This window comes from Homo sapiens, chromosome 13, assembly GCF_000001405.40.
Source record: "Homo sapiens chromosome 13, GRCh38.p14 Primary Assembly".
Classification (NCBI taxonomy): domain Eukaryota; kingdom Metazoa; phylum Chordata; class Mammalia; order Primates; family Hominidae; genus Homo; species Homo sapiens.
The window spans coordinates 45,681,159-45,701,345 of NC_000013.11; the positions used below are offsets into that span (position 1 = coordinate 45,681,159).

Genomic DNA, 20,187 nt, shown 5'->3' on the forward strand with positions numbered 1-20,187 from the left:
CTTTCCTTCTTGGAAAAATATCCAAATCATGTCTCATCCTCCTTCTATCTGACATTTGCAGGCTCTGCACTGGTTTGTTGGCAGTTCCCCCTAATTCCATGGAGGCCTTGGTAACACGCAGCCTTCTCTGTGCAGTGTGTGGTTAGTAGTAAATCTTGAGCCATTCAGCGCAGCGTTCCTCCTGGGGTCCAATCAACTCACGCCACCTTTCAGGGGAAAATCACCCAGACACATGTGACTGGTGTTAAATTAATTTGCGGCGAGTACTGGCTAATGCATTTCAAATGATTTAGCTCTGGTTGCTTCACTGAACATGTTCTGCAGTTTGGGTTTCTGTGAATAATAAGAGAAAGGGATGTTTTAGAAATATGGTCCTATATTTAGGGACCTGCCTATGTTGATTAGCAGCCAAGTAATTTGGAGCTAGAAAATTTACGAGGGTCATTCACATTCCTGCCGCCACCTCAAATCTCAGTTTTACTGAGAAATGAAGGTCTTTTACCTTATGTTGACTTAGTGTTTCTGAAGAGGGAATGTTGCCTATTTTGTTGCTAAGTAAAACTCAAAGTTTTCAGTTTCAGATAGAGTATTAAATAAAAAATAAAACTTAATTTCTAAATCATTCTCTCTTTTTTACATTTGGTGTGAAACTTTCCTAAGGAAAGAAGTTCAGGTTCCTAATCCACTTTGAATAGCCAATTTTACTAAGAAGGCCACAAAGACAGGTAAAAATAAACTTTTTCTCAGTTAGGTTTTGACCAGCCTACAAAAACAACTTAATAGCAATTGCCCCAGGAAAGAAAATTAGCACAGTTTTCATTGGTTAATAGTCTATAGGAAAGCCTTTAAAGTTTAACAAGAGACAATTGCTTTTTAATGTTTTCTTTTTCAAGCGTAGGAACTCAACTTGATCTTTCATTCTTCTAGGAATTCTGTTTGCCCAGGAGCTGGGGCCAATCCTCATTCTGACATGGTAGCAGCTTTATTTGTCACCTTCTTTGACAGTGAAAAGGACTAGATCAGAGGGTGAGCCCTGAATGTGGGCTCCAAAGGATGCACAAGGTGATTCACTGATATGTGGAAGAAAATATTGTATCATCTCTACAAAAAGTGCAAAAATTAGCCAGGCATGGTGGTGCATACCTGTGGTCCCAGCTACTTAGGAGGCTGAGGCGGGAGGATTGCTTGAGCCGGGGATGTTGGGGCTGCAGTGAGCCAAGATTATGCCACTGCACTCCAGCCTGGGTGACAGAGTAAGACCCTGTTTCCAAAAAAAAAAAAAAAGAAAAAAAGGAAATATTGTAAGTTCTGTTTATTTTCCCTAAAAAGTTAGAAAGACACTAAGCTCTAAAGTCTGCTAAAGTATAATGCATGGACAGGCACTGGCACCTTCATGTGGAGTGAATAGTGGTCCCATTTCTTGTTAGGGAAGGGGAGTGTCCTGAGAAAAACAACATTCCACAAGAGGTTGAGGGTGCCACCTTTCCCTTGTTGCACATTGCAATGATGGATGGCAGTTTATACGTGTCAGGCAAAGTGGATTTATGGATGATGTTGTCTGGTCTTAACTCAGCAAGTCACTGCAAAATGGACACATGGTTTAAGACGATGTCAGCAAAGAGAGGGTGGGTTGAATGTAATGATAAGGCAAGCATGAGTAAACAAGAGAAAAGGCCGCAGTGACAGTTTTGCTTTCAGAACTATCTCCTTTTCAGTGAAGTTGCTCAGTAGATGTATAAACACAAATTACAGCCATAATCATTAATGACACCCCTCACCTAACTGTGTTACATCTTGATATACTGGCTAGCAAGAGTTGAAGCCATTATGCTTTGAAAAAGACAATAAAAATGTCTGCAATCTTTTTTAACTGACCTAAAATCATGTACTATTCAGTGCAGTATCTCTCAAAATGTTAATTAGTGTAATGGAAAGTGCTTAAATGCCTCTTTTGAGGTTTCTTAGTAGTGAAGAAAAAAAGGTGCATATGACCATGGGAAATACTTGTTCTTCCTACTGCAATAAATACAGCTGAAATAATGCATGAAGAAATATACTGACGAGGCTTTTAATATACTGACAAGTCCTAAATTGTATTTCCATTCCAAACGCCTCCCCTGTAATGCCTGACTCTTACAAGCGACTGGTTTCTTGACACCTTCCCGGGATCTCTAGTCTTCTGCAGCTTCATGCATCCAAACTGAGCTCTTGATCATTGCTGCTTGTCTTTCCCTCAGTCTCCTCCTCCACAAGTGGCTCCTGCCTTCCTCAAGTGTTTACGTTAAAAACCACATATGTAACTAACCTGCACATTGTGCACATGTACCCTAAAACTTAAAGTATAATTAAAAAAAACAAAAACAAAAACCATGTGTGTCCTATCTTCTTTCTCTCTTATCCTGTATCCAAAGCTGTCAGCTAATTTCATGGGTTCTATGTCAAAATATGTCCAAATCTTTCAATGTCCTCTCTCACCACTAGCATTTCAGTCCATCTCTCATCTGGACAATTGAAATTGGTCCCCTGTTCCTGTCCTGCCATGTTGCAGTCTTTTCTCCACAGTAGGCTGGAGAAATCTTAAACCTAAGTCAGACTGTGTTGTGCTCTGCTGAGTCCCCCACCCCGGCTTCCTGTCTTGCTCAGGATGAAATCCATCATCCTCACCCTAGCCCTCAAGGCCCTACATGACCTCTCCCAGGCTGCCTTCTGTCCTCTGGTCCTCCCAATTCCCCATCCCTCTCTGCTTCCAGACACACTGGCTTCCCGTGGGTCAGTCCCACCCAGGCAACTCCTGCCTGGGGGGTCCTTCCCCTGCTGCTGCTCCCTCTGCTGGATACAGATAATCTACAGCTTGCCCCTCCACATATTCAGGCCTTTGCTCAGACCTCACCTCCTTAGACAGGTCTTCGTCATCTGAAATGGCTCACCCTATCACTCTCTGTCCCAAGAACCAGTTGAACTTTTCTTTGGAGCACTTACCCCTGATATACATTAGATTTTTTAAAAAATTTGCTCATTGTCTGTTGTCCCTCATAGGAACATAGCTCCATGAAAACTTAATTTTGTTCATTACTTCCTCAGCACCTGTTAACAGTGACTAGCTCATACAAAATATTCAAAATATCCTTTTTGAATGATTGAATGAAAATACCTTTAGCCAGCAAATATTGCTGATAGATGCGGAGAAAACTTTAAAGAAACAAGTATGGAAACAAATCAAGTAGTGCTTGCTTTACAGCTGGGTGAAGTACAAATGTAGCTTCTGCTTAGATAATAAAACATAACAAGTGCTGTTCTTTGGTGAACCAGTTACAGAAAATATGCCAGAAAAGATGTGTTCTCAATTGTAAATAACTTCTCTACAAGAAACAATGTTCTCATGGAACAATTGTTTAAAATGACATTTGATGGAGTGGTAGCTTCCACTGGAATTAAAAGAGGATGCTGGATAGGATGTGGAGAGCATCACTTGGGAAATTGATTCGCTGGGTAGTAACTCACAAGCAAACTATTGCTGCAGAGCAGTTGAAGTCAGAAGTGCAGAATGAGCTACAGGAGATCACAGATGCAATTAATCTGATTCTGAAAAATGAGAGAGCTGGCTGGATATGACGGCTCATGCCTGTAATCCCAGCACTTTGGGAGGCCAGGGCAGAGGATTGCTTGAGCTCAGCAGTTTGAGACTAGCCTGGGCAACACAGCAAGATCGCATCTCTACTTAAATTCACAATAGATATGCTGTTATTATGCAAAAAATACTTTAAAACAGGTAAGATTGAAAGGATATCAAATATGATTTACTTTACTCATTCCATTGAATAAATATATTATTCCTCACCAATAAATAAATAAATAAATAAAATAAAATAAATTTAAAAAAATTAACTGGAAGTGGTGGTGCACACCTGTAGTCCCAGCTACCTCGGGGGCTGCGGCGGGAAGATCACTTGAGTCCAGTAAGTCGAGGCTGCAGTGAATCATGATTGTGCCATTGCACTCCAGCCTGGGTGACAGAGTGAGACCCTGTCTCAAGCAACAGCAACTGCAACAACAAAACCAGTGAGAGAGCCACATAAAATGAGAGGATCTTTGAAATACTTTGCACCAAGATAAATAATGATCATGAAGACCTCTTGTTTGCAGTCATCTGTTTTTACAAAAAGACAAGTGTTCTAAATTTGCTGACCTTTTCTTATGGTGCCAAGTGGCTGTTAACAGTCTCTTATTTAGGAGCCACTTTGAAGAGAAAAATAAGGCACATTACTTTTTTTCCTTCCTAGTAAAGATGGTGTTTTACCGATGAGGGAGGGAGTTAGGGTGTTTTTGGAAGAAACTTATTTAATAACAAGAATGTTTTGAAAATGGATGCTTAGAAACATTTCCATCATTCTATGCATTTATTGCCCAAATGATATAAGAAGTTAACCTATAAAAACGTTCATATCTTTATAGTGAAGAAAGTGGGAAAGATAAATTTCTAATCTGTTTTAAAATCTTCTAAAAAAACAGTTTCACTGGGTTTTGACCCATTTGTCAAAAATCTTCTGATGATTATTTAAAAAAGAGATATAATTTGCATATCATAAAATCCCCCCCTTTTTGACACATGCGCACACATGTTTATAGCAGTACAATTTGCAATTGCAAAGATAGGAAACCAACCTAAGTGCCCATCAACCAAGCGGATGAAGAAAATGTGGTATATATACACCATGGAATACTACTTAGCCATACCAAGGAATGAAATAATGTCTTTTGTAGCAACTTGGATGGAGTTGGAGGCCATTATTCTGCCATTATTCTAAGTGAAGTAACTCAGGAATGGAAAACCAAATATTGTATGTTCTCACTTATAAGTGAGGTTGCAAAGGCATAAGAATGATATAATGGACTTTGGAAACTCACAGGGGAAGGCTGGGAGGAGAGTGAGGGATAAAAGACTGCATATTGGGTTCACTCCTCGGGTGATGGGTGCACCAAAATCAAAGAAATCACCACTAAAGAACTTATCCATGTAACCGAACACCACCTATACCCCAAAAACTATTGAAATAAAAATAAAAATTAAAAATATCCCCCCTTTTAAACTGTACAACTTAGTGGTTTTTAGTCTATTCACAAATTTGTGCAGCCACCACCACTGTCTAATTCCAGAATGTCTTCAACATCTCAATCAATGAGTATTGAAGAATAACCATTGACAAGAGGAAAGATAGAAATTTAGTGTGGAAATTTTAGCAAAAGCCTTTGCATTGTTTGAGGATGGGACTGTATATTGAGTATTGTGACTTAGAAATTGCAGTCAGTAATGTACTTTTCCATTTAAATCTACAGATCTCTGTGAGGTACCCTTTTCAGTGATAACAGACAGCCATTACATCCAGAAATCCAGGGAAATTGAACTTAGAAGCTGACTTTTGGTTCACTGGGTTAAATTAAGATTTTAAGAGATAACCACAGTTAATTACACTGTGTTCATTACAAATATTACTACTGACAATTAATTTTTGTGAAAGCAGAAGATTTTTGTATTATTAATGAATAAGATAAATTTCATCTTTGTTTATCCTGTTAAAATTTCATTTTTGAGTATGCTTTATAACGTGTATAACTATGATAATATTAATAGGAAAAGCATCAAAATTTTAAATTAAGAAATATACCGGCTGGGCACGGTGGCTCACGCCTGTAATTCCAGCACTTTGGGAGGCCGAGGCGGGCGGATCACGAGGTCAGGAGATCAAGACCATCCTGGCTAACACAGTGAAACCCCGTCTCTACTAAAAAATACAAAAAATTAGCTGGGCGTGGTGGTGGGTACCTGTAGTCCCAGCTGCTTGGGAGGCTGAGGCAGGAGAATGGTGTGAACCCAGGAGGTGGAGCTTGCAGTGAGCAGAGATCGCGCCACTGCACTCCAGCCTGGGTGACAGAGCAAGACTCCATCTCAAAAAAAAAAAAAAAATACATATATATATATATATATATGTAGGAATCTGTGCTCAAAATGTTGTTTTTTTTTTTTTTACAAAAGCATTTTTATTTGAGGTAAAGAGAAGTCTTGCTGAAAGGATTACAGTTCCAAGCATCAAAACTCAACTATTAGTGGCACTATTTTGACTTTGTACATTTTGCTTTTCCTTGGTCAGAAAAGGGTATTCAAGTTGTACTTTCCCCAGCTGGGCAACAATAAGGGCAAAGAAAACTGGAAGAGACTTGTACTCTGTGGGTACTGCTCTCCAAACGCAACATCAAGCTAGGAAAGCCCTCAATGGTCTGTCTTCAGGTTGCTGTTCCACCTCTGAGTGACACAGGCCATATATATTTGCAAGAAAAAATGAGGTGGGAAAAACAGGTGTAGGTCACTTGTGGACAAGCAAGCCCACAGCCTCAAAACTCTTCATGGAAGAGGTAATCCTTGTGGAAGGCTCAGCTCACAAAGGCACAGACCCTCCAGTTCCTGCTGTAGCTGAGTAAGGTAGTCATATCCTGGCTGCCCAGTTCAAAGTTGAAGACCTTGAAGTTCCCAGCAATGTGTTTTGGTGTCACAGACTAGGGAATCACCACCAAGCTCCTCTGCATGGGGAACCGGATCAGAATCTGGGCTGTAGTTTTATTCCGGTTGGCTGTGATTGCTTCGATCCTGGGATCTTCCAGTAGGGAAGGGTCCTTGGGCTTGGCCCGGGGCTTGTCAGGAGAGCCAAGGCAGCTACAGGCAGTCACTGTGATACCTTTGGACTGGCAGTACTGGATAAACTTCTCCTGAGTTAGGTACGGGTGACACTGAATCTGGTTAACTGCCAGCTTACACTTTGAGCCAGGCTTGTTTAAGATCCTCTCGACCTGCAGATGGTTGAAGGTGGAGATGCCAATAGCGTTCGCCAGCTCTTCCATGGCTGCCCATGTGTCCACATGTCAGTGTCACTGGGAACCATGTTGCCTGATTCATCCAATGGGAAAAATTCCTTCCCAGGCTTAAAGCCAGCTGGCCAGTGAATAAGATAGAGGGCCATGTAGTCCAGCTTTAGGTTGCTGAATATCTTCTGGGAGGCTCCTTTTACCAGCCCCTTCTCATGGTATGTGCACCACAGCTTGTGACGATGAGGAGGTCCTCACGCTTCACCACCTGCTCCCTGAGCTTCTCCTGGGCCACCTGCACCTCATGCTTGTTCTGGTGTAGGTGCAGTCAGTGTGGTGGTACCCAATGCCAATCGCCATCTTCATAGCCTCGGTGACCTGGCCTGGAGGGGACTTCCAGGTGCCCAGCCTCAGGATGGGCATTTTGGCAGTGTTGTTGAGCTTGAGGTGGCTGGCCATGGCTGCTGAGCTTCCCAGACCCCCGCCTGGAACCATGCCCAAAATGTTTCATCCGTAAAATGTATTATGAAAAGATTTTATAGAGCACTGATTGTAGACTACCTTTGCTCATATGTAATTCCCTGATGCAGTGTTTGAAATAGTCCGAGTCAATCCATTGCAGAGAGGATCTGAAGCACATTCAGTGTCCAGGTTTTACCCAGAGAGCTCGGGGCATTTTTAGCTGGCAGAAGCTCTGGTATAAATGGCAAGGCAGATTCAAATGCATCTAAACTTTATTACATGCACAGCACATGCCAGCCATAATGCAAAGTACTCTCACTCAACTTATTTCATGATTACCATAAACTGTGCTGTGGAGAATGTGAACTCGTTTTACAGATGAGGAGTCTCCGAGTCTGAGGGGTAAAGTGATTTGCCTAGGGCTGCATAGATAGTATGAATGATTCAGATCCAGAACTTCTGATTCCCCCTTCCCCTCCATACAACAGGCAATATTAAGGGTGCAGAATTGAGGCTCACATCGTAGCTCTGGCACTTAATGAGTGACCTTAGGCAAGTTACTTAACTTGGTGTCTCAGTTTCTATCTGTAAAATAGGGCTAAAAGTAGTAGTACTCTCTTTTAGGATTGTGAGGAGTTTAATGCATAAAGAGCTTATGCTAGTGCCTGACACATAGGAAAAAGCACTCAATAAATATTGGCTATTGTTATCATGATACCGGTTTCCCCCAACTTTTGCTGTCTAATTAGATTACAGTCCTTTTGAGTGCAAGGGATGATATCTGATTTCTTTTCCTCTCCTCTGCTACTTCCTTTTCCTCTCTTTCCTTCTTTATCTCCACCCCCAAGCATAGTGCCTTGCTCAGAGACAATGCTCAGGCGCTTATTAATAATGATACAGTTCAGGCCGGGCGCGGTGTCTCACGCCTGTAATCCTAGCACGTTGGGAGGCCGAGGTGGATAGATTGCCTGAGCTCAGGAGTTCATAGACCAGCCTGAGCAACACGGGGAAACCCCGTCTCTACTAAAATACAAAAAATTATCTGGGCATGGTGGCACGTGCCTGTGGTCCCAGCTACTTGGGAGGCTGAGGCATGAGAATTTCTTAAACCTGGCAAGCGGAGGTTGCAGTGAGCTGAGATCGTGCCACTGCACTCCAGCCTGAGCAATAGAGTGAGATTCCATCTCAAAAAAGAAAAAAAAAGTAATAATGATAGAGTTCACCTAAAGTTTTCAATCAATCAATATATATTGACTACCTTGTGGGTGAAGCCTGCCTGCCACAGCTCTAAAGTCCTTCATTCCCTGTCTTATTTAATTTAGTCCTCACCACAACCTAAAATTGGAAAAACTATCATGTCCATTTAATCACCAAGAAACTGAGGCTTAGCAGAGGTCACACAGCTAGCTGGGGTTGGCAATAGGATTCCAGCATAGGAACCTTGACTTAGATTCTGTGTCTTTTCAGCTACCTCTGCAATGGGGTCCAGGTGTGGAGGTGAGCATTCCTCTGACCTGGTCACCTGGAAAGTTTGTCCTTCCTTAGCGTAACGCAAGTCCAATCTCAGACCCATTTTTCAAAGTCCTGACCATACTATAACTTATCAAGGAAACTGAACAAATGGGACCCTTGTTAGTTCTTGAAGAAATGTTTTAATCAATTTATTTGGCACTATTCAGAGATCATATGCTATTTGGTAAGCATTTCATTATCATTAGGGAGCAACTAATTGACAATTAATTTACAGGATTACACACTTAACTAATCTGGTAATTTTTAATTTTGGTTAAATTGAAATGTACAGATGTGCATAAATCATGATTAGAGTTGTCCTAATAAACAAAGCATTCAAGTTTGCTGCTATTGGTCGAAATGAAGTGGAGACCAACCTGCCTCTTAATTTGGAAGTGTCCAATTCACTTCCATGGCTCCTGCCCTGCTGCGGACCCAAGGCCAGTTATCATCTCAGGATGGGGGGATGTGGAGGGGCTAGTGGAGGGGGGCAGAGACCCCCTTAGTCACCTCTTTTGTCTTTTTTCAAAATAAAAGAGCATTTTTTAGAGACTGAATGTCTTTTTCATTGGCTGTCTTTTGATAGAGCCTCATTCTTGGATCAAGTAAACAAATTACCTAATATTGGGAGAATGTCAGAGCTTCAGGGCAATTTACAGCAGCTCCTGGATTCAGGAGGAAAAGTTTCATAAGGTCTTTCCTGAGTTCACCAAGAGATTTATTCTTCACCAAGATTTATTCTCGTGATTACCTCTGGAACTTGGGAGTGCTAACTGCCCTACTTTCTGACACCTTCCACCTCCATTGTTTCTTCTGACATTCCTGCAAATGTGAGTGACTCTTCTATCTTTTAACAACCACTCACCTTAGCCACGCTCCTGAGAGCTGCCATTCTATTTTTCTGCTTCCTTCCACTCTCAGACTCTTCCAACAGCTGGTCTTTACTTGTTGCCTGATAGACTCACCAGCATCCTCTCTTGCCCTTTGCTGACTCCTGCTTCCTCAGAAGGCAAGAGCTATCAGCCAGTCCTAAGAGCAGCTTGGCCCAAGACCTTGCTGTACTTGGGCTGCCCCTCTGGCTCCAGAGTAGAGCTACCCTCTGCCCTAGGTAGCAAAAATGACCTATGTTTTCAATTGTATCCTGCAATTTGGAGATGAGAGGCATCCTGACGATTTGCTACATCCACCCACCTTCCCATCCCCTTTTCCCCAAATGAGAATGAGAGAAGAGCCAGAACATAGAGCCCACATCCACCTCTGACTCCTGTCCCAAAAGCTACAGTTTCTGTGATTTTTCTAGGGAAGGGCAGGGAGCCCTGCACTCTGGAATGGGCCCTCCTGCTTGTTGAATTTCTGCTTGTGATTCATCATCAGATAGTTGCAGGTGGGAGAAGCCTGGAGAGTCTTGATGCAGGCTTGCCCTTTCCTTTGTCTCTGCTCTACCTGTCTGTTCAGATGAGAAACCTGTGAGGCATGTCTACCTCCCTGCTCTATGTAGCGCCCAATTGCTGATGCTCATGGAACGTGGATGATTGATGATGGTGTTAATCTCAGTAATAACAGGCATTTTGGGCATGATCTCCGGGAAGTTTCTCAGTACTGAGTTACAGATGCGTGCCCTACAGAGGAGGAAGAAACCCAGCTAATGGGCAACTGCTGAGGTTTGGACCAGATTGGCCCAGTTTAAGATGCTCCTCCCTTTGAAAACAAAAAGGAAATAAATCAAGCAAGCAAACAAACAAGCCCTTACAGAAGCTGTAGTTTCAAGCCTTTTTAACAGAAGCACCAATTGTGTGTCAGCTGCCAGAGATTTTAAGTCAAAGGGTAATTTTGTACGAGGGAGTCAAAACAATGAGTATTTATTGAGAGATTACTGTCAGCTTCTTTAGAATGCTATGTCAACTTAGATATAATTTCTCTACTTTGGAGAGGAGGGAACTGAGCTTTTGACAGGTGGGGTGACTTGCTCAAGTCATAAACTACTATGGACTGAATGTTTGTGTCTTTCTAAAATTTATATGTTGAGCTCTAACTCTCAATGTGGTAAATGTGAAGGTGGAGTCTTTAGCAGGTGATTAGGTTTTAGATGAGGTCGTGAGGGGCCCTCATCATGGGATTAGTGTCCTTATAAGAAGTGGAAGAGTAACCAGAACTCTGTCTCCCCACCATGCGAGACACAGTGAGAAGACATCATCTGCAAGTTAGGAAGTAAGCCCGGGAGTGTTGGCATCTTGATCTTGGACTTCCCAGTCCCCAGAGCTGTGAGAAATACATTTCTGTAGTTTAAGCCATCCAGTCTGTGACATTTTGATATAGCAGCTGAGCTGATGAAGACATATAATAAGTAACTGTTTCTTGGCTTCCAGCTTTGCACATGGGTCTGCTGATGTACAGTGGCCATGACCTTGCTCTCTGTAGCCTCATTTATTCTTCTTTTTTTCTTCAACTTTTATTTTAAGTTCTGAAGTACATGTGTAGGATGTGCAGATTTGTTACATGGTTTGCTGCACAGATAAACCCATCACCCAGGAATTAAGCCCAGCATCCATGAGCTATTCTTCCTGGTGCTTTCCCTACCCCAATTCCCCCCTACCCCGACAGGCCCCAGTGTGTGTTGTTCCCCTGCCAGTGTCCATGTGTTCTCATCATTCAGCTTCCACTTATAAGTGAGAACATGTGATGTTTGGTTTTCTGTTCCTGTGTTAGTTTGCTGAGGATAACAACTTCAAGCTCCTTTCATGTCCCTGCAAAGGACATGATTTCATTCTTTTTTATGGCTGCATAGTTTTTCCACAGCCTCGTTTTTTTCTTATCAGTACCCTTCCTTTGGGTTCAGTAAAAGGAGCTCTTTTTACACCAATGTGTCAGGACAATTTGTGTGTCCATCTGGGCCTTCTTTATCTCCTTTAGCACTCTCCTTGCAGAATGGGGTAGAAAGGGTCTTTAATCAGATCAGACGGTGAGTCTCTGTCATGCTGTGAGAGCCATCACTATCAGCCAGAGATACAGTGGTGCTGACCATGTTCCACTGTGAGACCCAGAAGGATCTGGGCTGCCCCTCTACCTGGAGCAAGGTCTCTAGCGAGAAAAAGGCAAAGGACTGTGGCAGAAGGGAGGAGGAAGGGAGATCACAAAGAGAAGGGCCTCCTGGAGGACTCTGTGGGACCGACTGGTGATGCAATTGGAAAAAAACAATTTGCACTGTGGGTCCAGACCAGTTTTCATGGTCATCTACTAGCAAGACTTCCTTCCTAGGAGCGGACTGTGCCACAGGCTTCCCCTGATATCATGGATATAACTTTGGAGTCATGCTAGAAAACCACAGAGGGACTTCAATGGGGTGGGGTGTATCTTCCTTCAGATAGAGCCTTCAGAACAGAGCCAGGGTTGGGCTTTTACTACACTGGAACTAGCCACCAGACAAACAAAAGTGTGGAGAGGCAGAGGGACTAAGAGTAGGCAAAATAACATAGCAGAAATAATAATAAATATGAATGATATAACATGTAATAGTAATGCAGGCATACCAGGATACTAGCAGATTTCTTTGTTCATGTGGATCCTTCCAGAGTAGAGCTTGTGCACTGGAGACCTCTCCTATGGGAGGAAGTGGCTCAACTGAACCTGCTGGGGATAGGCCAGGGTGATGGGTTTAGGGACCCCAAGGGTGGGGCTATATCCCAGGAGTGGTGGGGCCTGCATACATGTCAGGAACTCAGATTTAAGTGAAACAACCATGTAAAGTAGCACAGGACCAGCACTCACTATGCTTTGAGTGAATGTTAGCTTCTATTATGGGTTGAATTATGTCTCCCCAAAAAGATGTATTGAAGTCCTACCAGGAGACCTAATTTGGAAATAGGATCATTTCAGATGTAACTAGTTAAGATGAGGTCCAACTACAGTCTAGTGGCCCTCAATCCAATATGACTGGTGTCCTTATAAGAAGAGGATACCAGATACAGACACACGAGGGTAGAATACTATTCAATAAGAGAGGCAGAGATTGAAGTGCTGCAGCACAAGTCAGAGAATAGGATTGCTGATGACCACCAGAAGCTGGGAGAGAGGCAGGCAAGGACCCTCCCCTCTGATGTCAGAGGGAGCGTGGCTCTGCCAGCACCTTGGTTTTGGATTTCTGGCTTCCAGAACTGTGAGATGATACATTTCTGTTGCTTAAGTCAAAAAGTTCATGGTCCTTTGTTACAGAAGCCCTAGGAAATGAATATAGCTGCGTCCCTCTCTGTTAAGTCTCCCTTGCTCAGCCCCAGCAGGCAGCAAGCGCAGAGACTTGTACAGCTCCTTCTAGGCCTCCCTGCTTTGGTGACATCCACATTTCCCTCGTGCTGTTCATAGCTCCTCTTCCATAACTCAGTGGATGTGCAGGTGCTTCTATGAGGTGTGCGTGTAAAGGAAAATGGAATTCTGTTTTCAGGCAGTATGGGACTTAACCACTTTTATAAAAACCTTTTTTTTTTTTTTTTGACACAGAGTCTCACTCTGTTGCCTAGGCTGGAGGGCAGTGGCATGATCTTGGCTCACTGCAAACTCTGCTTCCCAGGTTGAAGTGATTCTTCTGGATCAGCCTCCCGAATAGCTAGGATTACAAGTGTGTACCACCACACCTGGCTAATTTTGTATTTTTACTAGAGATGGGGTTTCACTATGCTGGCCAGCCTGGTCTCAAACTCCTGACCTCAAGTGATCCACCTGCCTTGGCCTCACAAAGTGCTGGGATTACAGGCGTTAGCCACCATGCTTGACCAAAAAATCCTTTGGAAAAATAGAAAACAAGTATTGCTGAGCATGCAGAGAAATTGAAATCCTTCTGTTGGAGGGAATGTAAAATCATGCAGCTGATTTGGAAAACAGTGTGGGGGTGCCTCAGAAAATGTAAAATAGTATTACAATGATCCATCTATCTCACTTTTGGGTACATATCCAAAAGAATTCAAAGCAAGATCTCAAAGGTATCATTTGCATACCCATGTTCATTGTAGCACTACCTACAATAGCCAAGAGCTGGAAACAACCCAAATATTAATCAACCAATGAATGAATAAATAAAATGTAGTATATATATATAATAAAATATTATTCATCCTTTAATAAGAAGGCAGTTCTGTCATAGGTTAAAACGTAGATGAACCTTGATGCCAGTATGCTAAATGAAATAAGCTAGTCACGAAAGGACAAATATATTGATTCTACTCATACGCAATATCTGAAGTAGTCAAAATCATAGAAACAGAAAGCAGAAGCGTGGTTGCCAAGGGCTGAGGGGAGTGGAAAGGGGGAATTAGTATTTAATGGGCATAGAGTTCCAGTTTTGCAAGATGAAAACGTTCTAGAGATGAGTTGCACAACAATGCGAATATACTCACCCAGCTTTTAATGAAGAAAATCCACTTATGGTAAAACCAAGAAGATGATTAATTACATTACCAAAGATTTTTTTCATTTGAGTCAAGGAGTCTCTCTGTGCTGTCATTAAGGCAGTATTTTTATTAGAAAAAGTTCAAGGGGTGGATTCTGAGATTAGTAGGTGATTGGTGCAAGGAAAGGGGAGGTCTGGAAAGTCCTTGGGCATGCACAGTTATTTCTTCATGTTAACTCCTGAGTTGCATGTGCAAATTCAGGGGGAGTTAGTACAAAACATGTGGTGGAAATTCGGGCTGTGACATCAGCAAGCTTATTCTGTGCAAACTCCAGTTAGCCATCTTGGTTCCAACCAATTTCAGCCAGGTTTTTCTTAATCTCACAAGTGGAGAGAGTTTCAGCAGCTTGTTTCTTTTCTTATCTGTTATCTGGCAAACTCAAGAATTTCTGTTAGTTACTGGTTTCTTATTTTGTGGGGCACAGCTTCAGTTTCAGCTTTTCAGCAAGCTATTTTCTTGTCTGTTATCCTGTAAGTCCAAGAATTTAACCACTGATTTCTTTAACTCTTTGGGGCATGGTTTCAATTCCCCCTGTTCTATGTAAATTCCTCAATTGTGAGGGATGAGGGGTGACAACTACTCTAACTTCTTCCTGCTGACTAGGGATACAAGTCTGGGCCTCAGAAATGAAATTGTTTTGCATTAGGTTGAAGATGTTCTCTAACATCTGGTTTAATATTAACATTTGGTATTACCAGTACGTTGGTTTCTCTTTTTTTTTTTTTTTCTGTTGCCCAGGCTGGAGTGCAGCGGCACCATCTGGGCTCACTGCAAGCTCCGCCTCCTGGATTCATGACATTCTCCTGCCTCAGCCTCCCGAGTAGCTGGGACTACAGGCACCTGCCACCACACCCGGCTAATTTTTGTATTTTTAGTAGAGACGGGGTTTCACCGTGTTAGCCAGGATGGTCTCGATCTCCTGACCTCGTGATCCGCCCACCTCATAGCATTGGAGACAGAATTTGATTACCAGATATCCGGCAATAAGTATTAGAAATAGAGAAAGCCCTATTTTTAGTATAACCCTGGAGCATATATTTGATTCAGTGTGAGATCCAGGAACTAAACCTAAGAACCAGTTGGCACCTGGTTCTTCTCTAGAAATGTGTTGTAATCAGTCAACTTACTATCTTATTTTTCTACATGTATTTCGACTTCAGGAGATGTATTCATGTAAATACAACATGATATGTTAGCTACTATCCAAACTTCTCCCTGCTCTGCCAATATGTAGTCTAAGGTTATTCTGTTATCCATTATGATCCTGGCTGAAGAGCCTAAAGATTTTTGTTGGTTGGCTGTGGCTTCAACTGCTTCATTTGCTAAGTTACCTAGAGTGATTGACAGATTTCTAATCATATGTTCATGATTGTCTACTCCCCACCATGGCAAGAGAGTCCTGCCAAACATAGGCCAAAATCCATCTCCTTGGTTTGCAGGTAGGGTTTGTCTAGTCCAGGAAAATAATTTTAAGGAAAATAGTCCTGTCTTGAGTAACACTTGCAATATAAATAGAAAAGGAAGTAGTTACATAACCTAATAGACAAATACCTCTCATGCACCAGTTGCCAGCACATTCATAAGCCCGTGGGTGGTTGACACATTGAAAAAAAAAAGTATATCCAGGAGGTGCACATAGGGTCCCTGACAAATTCTGAAAGTTAAGGCTTTGGCCTACTGGTCAGAGACAGGTGTGTTATATATAGTTTTCTTTTGAACATAATTTCTCTCTCTCCAGTCCCCCATTTTTACCAAAGACGAATCATTGTAGGACCAATTTGTATATAAAATAAGTTCTAGTCTTATTATACCTGGACTGATTATTTGCATAAAGTACAGCAGGAATAATGATTCACCATATAGGCTTTCGTTTTTAAATAGGCTTTGCTGGGCCTTTTAAAATAAGGAATTTCTGACTTTTAAAAGCCTTGAGATCAGTCAAGCCAAGGATTTGCCATCAGATTGTGCCTGTAATGCCTGCATGAATGGTTGTGTTATTCCTCTCTTCTCAGGGTCCCAAAATAGGTTGCTGGACCTGTCAGAAAGTGACATTCTTTACTTACTGCAAGGACAGAAACTTTGTAAAGGAACCTTATAGACAAGCTACCAGGCCAGTCTTTTTAAGGGGGTTTTTTATTGGTGCTTTAAAGTTAACTTCCATTCTGGTCATACCTAAAAACGTGTCATTCCAGTCAAAGCCTTAGTGAAATAACCAGTGTCTCCAATTGTGTTCTATTACAAAAGGAAATAGATTTTTATTGAAAACTAATACAAATAATATATTGCCATAAATTGAGAATACTCACAAACAGCTTCCAAATTCTGGAGAAATCAGAGAGAAAGGTAAATGCCTCAAATTTTTGTTCACAAAACTATATTTTATCTAATGTGTTGTAAGTTAAAATGGTTCAAAAGGAAAATGTTTACAGGAAAACAAAACATAAAGAGATCATCAATGTTTCAAATAAAAATGTCATAAAAGATCTTTTTAGTCCTCTCTCAGTTCAGTCCCATGTAACTAATTCTTGTTCGGTTTGATGTTGGGTTAGCAATTCTCATGTAACTTTTTAATCAGAGTCCTGGAAGACTTTTCCTAGTCTGATGGCATTATCTCCAAAGTTATCAGAAATCTGTATTTAAGAGTACTTGTCAGAGTCCTTTCCATGAAAAGTAAGTTGGGTTGTAGCTGATTGGAAAGCTTTTTAGAGAAGAATTCAAAACAATAACTGTGGATTACAAAAACTTAGCCATGGTTAAAATCTGATAAAAGTTCTCAATTGTCAAGAAAATTAAGTTATTTCTATTATATATAGCATTTTAAGATAACAACCAGAACCATGACTGACAGCATCACATCAAGACCATCTGATTTTTATAATAATGTAATCTTAAGAATATTTGTATTAATTATATATCTGTACAAATATAACTTTTAAAAAGATTTAACATATCAAAATTATGACTGATAGCATATGAGATTTTTATAAATTTATGTAATTCTTAGAACATTTATATCAATAGCATACCCATAAACATAACCAAAAGAAGATCTAGTATTATTTAGCATTTGATAGTGTCTCCCATAGAGTTTTACCAAATAAATCCTACCAAAGACGTTAAAAATTCAAAACATTTGATCAAAACAGAGCTACAGGTCATTTAAAAATAACAGTTATTCATTTAACTAGCATGACAGTCAAAAGACCTCAAAAGTAATACAGAAAGTTACATGGGAGGTTTCCTGGTTATATGAAATAATTCAGACATATCATAAGGCCAAGAGTATAAAATTATATTACATTTGAGGAAAACATTGCTTTTCTAAACTTTTAAGATAAATATTTTAGCATTATGCCATAAGAACAGCATTAGGACTGGGGTAAAAAGTTGTAAGAGTTGATGAACAAGTTGAAGAGGACAGTTATCATTCCAGCCAAGCAAAAAGATATTTTTTTTTCAAGGGGGAAAAAACAGAAGATAATGAATGTGATCTGCAACTTATATGTAACAAGGTGCAGGAAAAGTTGAACTTCTGAGATATAAATCTGACGTTTTAATTTTAGAATTTAAACTCAATATTTCTTGCAATATCATTGAGAGCAAATCAATACTTCAAAAAATTTTGTTGCTTTAACCAAAATTTTTAGTTTTGTATTAGCGCATTTTTAATATTACAGCTAATTTTAATAAGACCTTATAAACAAATCTATTCAATCTCAATTTGTTTTGACTGCAAGGTAAGATTTCCATAAACCTTTTATAACCTCTTACAATTTGTTTTATTTTCATTCTTTCTCAACTTTCTATATTTATTTAGTTTTATCTACACTTTTTTAATTCCTTCAATTTAAAACAATCCTTTAGAACCTCTAAACTAGGCAAAATTACTTGCCCTTAAACGAAAACCATATTCCTGTCTTCTTGTGTGTTTACCAAAAACACATCCTATTTTTCGTATACATTCTGCAAATAGAATTGTTTCTCTTGTATCTAGTAGTTTCAATTACTTATATAAGTTACAATATTAACTCTTAGTAATCCTTATTTTAGGGATTTTAGGGAAGAACCTAGGAAGTAAGAAATCTTGAATTGTCTGCAATATATCAGTATTTTAAGATAAAATATTATAAGTATTTCATGTATTTTAAAACCATGTTTTAATCTTTAGAAACATTTCCTTATACATTTCTTAATTGGAAGTGACCCAGCTGCTCAGTAAGTAAAGTATGATAGTAAGTATCATAACTTTAAGATTTTGAAAAACATAAGAATTTCATTTACACACATTTGTCCCATTTACATTTATCTAATTTATTTGTTTTTAACAGTTTATCTAGATTAGTTATGAGAATAGAGATATTAGACAAAGCTAGTCACCATTTTAAGTTATTTCCTTGTTAACCATTTTACAGCTTGTGAATATCAGGTGTTCACCTAAGCAAGAACTTTAAAGTGAAATACACAGATATTTTGCTGATAAATCAGAGGATTTCATTGTTTTCATTAAACCAACAATATTAAATTAGTCTTATTTATCAAAAGAATCACATAAACAAAGATTATTCTGTTTTGGCCGGGTTTGTAATTTCATAACTTTTTGCCAAACCTGGACATCTTAAAATAACTATCAGATGCACATATCAGCTGACCAGTAAACACAGGCAAAAATACATGCTGACAATCCTGAAGACATATCTATTTTTATTTTATCAATAATTTTTTTTTAATTTTCCAAAGATTATTAAAGTCAAATGAACTTGAAAGCATTTGGACTTATTTATTTAATTTATCAGTACTCTTTTATTTATAAGCTAATTTGGTACCATATAGACACAACATATAACATAATGCATGTATATGCATAAACAAGACAGTTGGATCAAACTTATTTTCCTGATAAAACTGGAATCTGTTCACATGGCTAAATTTTATTTGCCCTGATGAGCAAAGCAGTTTCCAGGGCACTTTGATTTTAAAAGACCTCTTTCCTTTTTTTTCTTTAGCCAGTAACCTGAAACTAGTAATACCATGAACAGTAAGTTTTATTTCAACACCAGCAGAAAAGTCAGCAGATTCAGAGTAGTCAGGAAGGAAAAATAGGCAAAGAACTTAGAAGACTACATGGTAACTCTTTAAGGACAGAAGAAGAAAGAGGGATTGACTGAAAATGTTTTACATGTGCCATTTTTCTTCAGGTTTTCTAGTTTATGGAGTTGCTTTGTTCTAATTGAGTGTGCAGGAGTCTGGAGATCTCATAAGGCTTCTGCTGTAGCCATCACAGTCTTTGACCTCTGTTAAGCCAAATATTGCTACACAGACCAAAAATACAGACAGACCAACAAAAATCAGAACCAGACTAGATTATCTTAGTGGCTGTAGCTTTTTAGTATTGCCTTAATTCTTTGGGACTTAAACATACACCAGATTTGGGACTCTGAACTGACCAGAATCCCCCTTGGGTAGGACTCAAATCCACAATCCTAGACAAGGTTGGGACTCTCATCCATAATCCTAAACCACAGGGTGGGACTTGAACCCACAGTCGTTATGATGAGTTCAAAGACAATTAAAAGTACAGGGGCATATTAACAAGGTACTCACCAGAAAGATGTCTAATCCAGAAGCAATTTATTTTCCCAAAAGAGAAGTGCCAAGGGAGCCTGAAGTGCCATGGTGGAGAAGAAGGAACCCTATAGTCGAGCCTCTGGACACCCTGGTCTAGGTGGCCACTCAGGATCAGTGCAGGGGGCCTGCACACCACTAGGGGCAACAGTACCTTGGACAGGCTGTTCGTCTCACCTGGGGTTCTAGTTTGTTAACAAGCAAAAGGGGCTCACTGCCCAATGTGCTAGAAGCCAACACTGACACCAAATTTTTGAAAAAAAGAAAAGCTTTATATTAAAAGTCACCTCTGAAGGAG

General features: G+C 40.2%; 1 long non-coding RNA gene and 1 pseudogene across 1 annotated transcript, besides 1 other annotated feature; both read right to left on the reverse strand.

Moving 5' to 3' along the window:
• Window positions 1-40: 40 nt before the first annotated feature.
• On the reverse strand, window positions 41-20,026 carry LINC01055 (long intergenic non-protein coding RNA 1055). The gene is made up of 4 exons (NR_125786.1): window positions 19,869-20,026; window positions 3,906-4,042; window positions 1,144-1,261; window positions 41-333 (listed from the first exon to the last, which is right to left on the reverse strand). It is a non-coding gene; the product is annotated as a long intergenic non-protein coding RNA 1055 (long non-coding RNA).
• On the reverse strand, window positions 6,025-7,352 carry AKR1B1P4 (aldo-keto reductase family 1 member B1 pseudogene 4; annotated as a pseudogene).
• Window positions 19,845-19,924: an enhancer, noted in NCBI's record as "active region_7681". NCBI's record gives its function as "activates an Ori minimal core promoter by ATAC-STARR-seq in GM12878 lymphoblastoid cells {active_cell/tissue: GM12878}" and the evidence as "EXISTENCE:reporter gene assay evidence [ECO:0000049][PMID:35858748]".
• Window positions 20,027-20,187: the final 161 nt, after the last annotated feature.